This window comes from Homo sapiens, chromosome 8 (genome assembly GCF_000001405.40).
Source record: "Homo sapiens chromosome 8, GRCh38.p14 Primary Assembly".
In the NCBI taxonomy this organism is placed as follows: Eukaryota; Metazoa; Chordata; class Mammalia; order Primates; family Hominidae; genus Homo; species Homo sapiens.
In genome coordinates, this window is record NC_000008.11 from 18220161 (window position 1) to 18226160 (window position 6000).

Consider the following 6000-nt stretch of genomic DNA (forward strand, 5'->3'; position numbering starts at 1 on the left):
GAACTTTAGAGCTTGACCAAATGTTACGAAAGGGTGCTGGTGGAAGTTAGGATGAGAAGAAATGCAATCTAATAGATTTGGAGAAATGATGTTGTAGACACCAAGAACAGAGAAAGTTGGAAACTGGCAATATGGGGAGGATAGCTGGGTCAGAAAGGAAAAATAGGAGAATATAGAAGAAATGTTATGAGAAGGGAAAATAAGAGATGCTCCACTTATCACCATTCATCTCGGGGCAGGTCCCTTTGTACAAGGTCATCCTCAGGCCATACCACATACAAAAGAGTTATACCTGAGGTCTGTACAGCACTGTTACAATCATAGTCTCAAAAGGTTAAGGCTCTATGATGGCAGGTTTAAAAAACCTTTTCTAAAATATTTAACAAAATAAGGGGCATTTATTTTTTTTTGGTTCACATTACCTGAAAGTTAAAAGATAGCTTTCGGCTTCATTCAGGTCTTTCCTCATTCTACCTTCTGTTGTTTTTCATCTCTTGGTAAACTTGGTGAACTCTTTGTTAGTGTTGTTCTTCAGTAGGTTCTCACCAATAGCTTTGAATGAATACCCCACCAGCTTCTACTCACCAATAGCTTTGAATGAATACCCCACCAGCTTCTACCTTGTAGCAGAATGTACACGCTTAGGTTTCAGCAAAAGTTCCTCAGTAAAGTCTCAGATCTACTTAGATCATATGTTATCCATGAGCCAAGCACTGGTCCTAGAGCATATGTGTTCAAATTGGTCCCACCTAGTCCATGTGACTATCCATAAGGCGCAATATGGGCAGCCTGTTCTCTACACAGTATCCAGAAACATCACTTTGATTGTGGCAAACATTGCTCAATTACAACCCTTCTCTCAGGCCTCTCTCATTTACATTTCTCATTTCACTTACAGTAAAAACCAAAATGCCAGTCTTAGCTCCAAGGCTGCAGTTGCCTGTCAGATCTCATCTCAGTCCACTCTCCTTCTTACTCATGTGCTCCAATTACCCTTGCTTCCTGAATGTTTTTTGAACGCTCAAGGCAGTTTCCAGCTTAAGGCCTTGTTATTTTCTGTTTTCCTACTTGGAACAATCCTCCTCACGCATATCCTTAGGCCTTATTCTCTGGCATCCTTCAAATCTTAGCGAGTGTTTTTTTTTTGGTGTGTTTTTTTTTTTTTTTAAACCAACTAATTTAAAATTGGAGCTCTCCCTCTGTACTTACTGGGTCCTTTCTTTACTTTAGTTTTCCCAGGGCACTTACTACAATCTAACAGATTGCATGTTTTATCCATGTATTCAATTTCCTATATATGTCACTCCAACTCCCACTAAAATATAAGATTTTTGAGAGTAAGCAAGCACTAGAACAGTAGGAAACACATTATAGCTATTCAGTGAACTATTTCTTGAGTTAATCAATCAATGGATGAGTGAATCAATACAGTTCTTTGAGCGGGAAACTTTGTATAAGGCTCAGCTAAAAGGGAAATTGAGTGGGTCAGGTACCACGGATACTATACACTCTATTGCATGATTCTCCTGCCTACATCAGAAGACGTTTATAAGCCTATTTTAAAGGATACCAGTTGGAATCTCTCTTTTATTAATCACCAAGAGAACCATGAACAAGCTGTTTATCATTTGACTCATCATTTAATCTTGATTTCCAGCTTCTCACACTTGAAAGAAGACATAATACATTTCTCACAGGATTCTGGGACTATTAACTGAACTTATGTGTGTAAAAGGAATTCATACAATGAAAGCACTAGAAATAATTATTATACTTATAACCATTGTATTTTTACATGTTTAAAATATAGCCATAATTAGCCTACTCAAATCCAAGTGTAAAAGTAAAATGATTTGCTTTCGTTTTGTTTTCCTTGCTTAGGGGATCATGGACATTGAAGCATATCTTGAAAGAATTGGCTATAAGAAGTCTAGGAACAAATTGGACTTGGAAACATTAACTGACATTCTTCAACACCAGATCCGAGCTGTTCCCTTTGAGAACCTTAACATCCATTGTGGGGATGCCATGGACTTAGGCTTAGAGGCCATTTTTGATCAAGTTGTGAGAAGAAATCGGGGTGGATGGTGTCTCCAGGTCAATCATCTTCTGTACTGGGCTCTGACCACTATTGGTTTTGAGACCACGATGTTGGGAGGGTATGTTTACAGCACTCCAGCCAAAAAATACAGCACTGGCATGATTCACCTTCTCCTGCAGGTGACCATTGATGGCAGGAACTACATTGTCGATGCTGGGTTTGGACGCTCATACCAGATGTGGCAGCCTCTGGAGTTAATTTCTGGGAAGGATCAGCCTCAGGTGCCTTGTGTCTTCCGTTTGACGGAAGAGAATGGATTCTGGTATCTAGACCAAATCAGAAGGGAACAGTACATTCCAAATGAAGAATTTCTTCATTCTGATCTCCTAGAAGACAGCAAATACCGAAAAATCTACTCCTTTACTCTTAAGCCTCGAACAATTGAAGATTTTGAGTCTATGAATACATACCTGCAGACATCTCCATCATCTGTGTTTACTAGTAAATCATTTTGTTCCTTGCAGACCCCAGATGGGGTTCACTGTTTGGTGGGCTTCACCCTCACCCATAGGAGATTCAATTATAAGGACAATACAGATCTAATAGAGTTCAAGACTCTGAGTGAGGAAGAAATAGAAAAAGTGCTGAAAAATATATTTAATATTTCCTTGCAGAGAAAGCTTGTGCCCAAACATGGTGATAGATTTTTTACTATTTAGAATAAGGAGTAAAACAATCTTGTCTATTTGTCATCCAGCTCACCAGTTATCAACTGACGACCTATCATGTATCTTCTGTACCCTTACCTTATTTTGAAGAAAATCCTAGACATCAAATCATTTCACCTATAAAAATGTCATCATATATAATTAAACAGCTTTTTAAAGAAACATAACCACAAACCTTTTCAAATAATAATAATAATAATAATAAAAAATGTATTTTAAAGATGGCCTGTGGTTATCTTGGAAATTGGTGATTTATGCTAGAAAGCTTTTAATGTTGGTTTATTGTTGAATTCCTAGAAAAGTTTTATTGGTAGATGAGTAAATAAAATATTGTAAAAAAACTTATTGTCTATAAAGTATATTAAAACATTGTTGGCTAATATAATTTGAAAAAAAGTGGTTTTTTGGAAGACTTAGGATATTATGGTGCTACATAATTTTTCCTCGATGCTCTCTTCCTCTCATCTTTCTTGTCTCTTAAATTACTTTACTTCCTTGCACACTTTGCCATACAAGAATGAACATGAGCTTTTCTTGTGTAGATCTGAGTTGAAATCCTGTGGACACTGGGCGAATTACTTTTTAGATCTGTAGCTCTGACTCCTCAGGCATAAAATGGGAATAATGCTTTTACAGTTTAGTGGCGGAACTAAACTCCCAAAATTATTTGTTATATGGATCAAGTAATAACGTCAGTAATGTTTTTGGTACAAAGTCATTATTTAATAAAAGTTATTGTTCCATCTTGCTTGCCCCCCCACCCCTGTCATCTGCCTGCTTCTTTCTTGATTAAATATTGATAGGATATTAGATGCCCAAGATCTAAGAGTGTGCTCTGTGCTTCAGAATCTGAATCTTTGCTTATCTATAATTCAGATTTTCTGTTTGTGGATTCCAGTATCAGGACTATAGTTTAACTTGCAGACTTGATCTTACACTATTCTCCCTCTTCGACGTGTGATCATTGTAATAAGGTTAAGAGAAAGGCAGGGACTAGAATGAAGAAATTTTAGTTAAGAGAACAAGATACATTGTAACATCGGTATTTTATGCAGCAATTTAACAGTTGGGAGATGCTGGTGTGGGGGGATATCTTAGGAAGAGGTAGAAATGAGACATGGCCTCAGTGGGAAGGAAGGATGAAAGATATATTTCAGTATTTGATGGCTTGCTGTCTTCCTTACTGTACTGGCCTTTTCCAGCTCTGCTGCTATCTGGCAGCAATGCCAGGTCATTTCTTGTACTCTTGGGAAGAAATACGTTTTTCACTTTCTGACCAGGACCATGCCTGTGGAGTAGATGTTGACAAGAAACACTGACCAGATCAAAATGTGTCTCAAGGAGAATGGCACAATTTTGTGCAAATGAATCAAGGAAGTCTTATTGCACAGGAGTATCCTGGAACCCAGTGCAATTGATTTTTTAGAAAAATATATCACATAGGGGAAAAAAACTGGAATATGTTGAAGGAGACGTATATAATATTTAGCATCCAGATTGATGACTTCTGCCCTAACTATGCAATGTTAACTTTTCTCAGATGAAATCTAAATGAGTGAAGGAGAATAATCTCGCCAATTCATTTGGTCAGAGATCTTAAGAAGCCCCCTACTTACTTGTGTTTGTCCAAACTGTTGTCTCTGTTTTTGGTGGCCCCTTGGAGATCAGAATGTGCCATGTCCTGTCAAGACCCCAAGACAAGTAAGGTAGAATCCAAACATTTTATATGTAGCTGGAAAAGTGGGGGTGTTGGATGTGTATTTCAGTTTCTTCAATCATTACGGTGAAGCTGAGCGTGAACCTTTATCTCCCATTCTCTCTGCACTAAGCCAAGGAGAGAATCTGTGACAAATGCCTGTACTGGTGTTTAGGTTGTACTCTGGGGGAGATAGCTGCTAGAAGTTGGCCCAATTGTGTATTTGCCTGTTTGTTTCCAGTGTCTAAGGCCACTCAGAAATGCATAGCCCCATTGACTCCCAGAACTAAAGAGACAGTCCCTTTTATGAGAGGTCATTAAAGAGACAGTCCTTTCTATGAGAACTATACAAGTTGTGGCTGTTGGTGTGTGGACCAACTACCTCCAAAAAATATGGGTAGACTTGGAATAATCACTGGAGTGAGCTAGAGGAAAGGCTCAGGAGGTGACATCCTTCAGCTCAGGCTTTTGGAGGGTTACTGTTTGTCTACCCCATTACCTCACCAATGCAAGTTCAACGGAAGCTGCCAAGTAGCCACTTAAAAAAATGTGCAATAGGCTGGGTATGGTGACTCACGCCTGTAATCCCAGCACTTTCGGAGGCCAAGGCGGGTGGATCACCTGAGGTCAGAAGTTCGGGACCAGCCTGGTCAACATGGTGAAACCCCGTCTCTACTAAAAATACAAAAAGTAGCCAGGTGTGGTGGTGGGTGCCTGTAATCCCAGCTACTTAGGAGGCTAAGGCAAGAAAATTGCTTGAACCCAGGATGGGGAGGTTGCTATGAGCCAAGATCGCACCATTGCACTCCAGCCTAAGCAGCAAGAGTAAGACTCTGTCAAAAAAAAAAAAAAAAAAAAAAGTGCAATAAACCGCTTCTGGAGAAAAAAATGGGGGTTGTGCATTCCAGCCTTTTTTTCTGCACTACACCCAGAGAGTGTACTCTTTGGAAACGCACATCTTTGTTCTGTGACCGAGAGAAACACGTATGCCTAGTCTCCTCTACTGTTAGAGCCCGGAGGCTTACGATGCTGTCCTTCATGGGGAAGCTGTAAAAGTTGGGGCATAAGGAAAATAACTGCCAATTGAAAATACTATACTTAGCAAATCTATTCTTCAAACATGAAGAGGAGATAAAACCCCAAGACAAACAAAAGCTAAAGCCATCACCACCAGACTTGTCTTACAAGAAACGCTAAAGGGATTTCCTCATCTGAAAGGAAAGGACGCTAACATGCAACAAGAAAATATGTGAACGTATAAAACTCACTGGTAAGAGTAAGTACACAGACAAATTTATAATACTCTAAGACTGTAATTGTGGTGTGTAAACCACAATATCTTTAGTATGAAGACTAAAAGATAAAGCTACCAAAAATGACAACAATTTGTCAGGAGATGGGCAATATAAAATGATGTAAATTGTGGCAACAAAAAGTCAAAATATGGGAGGCATGGAGTAAAAGTGCAGAGTTTTAAACTTTTTTTTATTGGCTTCCTTTCTTTGTGCTGAATGTTAAGTTTCCATCAGTTTAAA

The 6000-nt window shown here is 38.8% G+C and overlaps 1 protein-coding gene across 15 annotated transcripts in view; it reads left to right on the top strand.

Annotated features, from left to right (window-relative positions):
* NAT1 (N-acetyltransferase 1) overlaps nucleotides 1-3529 on the top strand; it is a 53223-nt gene extending 49694 nt beyond the window's left edge. For 14 of the 15 annotated variants that reach the window (XM_047422397.1, XM_047422398.1, XM_047422399.1 and 11 more), the window contains one exon: nucleotides 1882-3529. In XM_047422397.1, coding sequence (XP_047278353.1) covers nucleotides 1882-2760 — 879 coding nt within the window. In that variant the 3' untranslated portion in view covers nucleotides 2761-3529. Of the gene's footprint in view, nucleotides 1-1507 lie in introns of those variants that run through there. The other variant, NM_001160174.3, reaches the window with a different exon arrangement.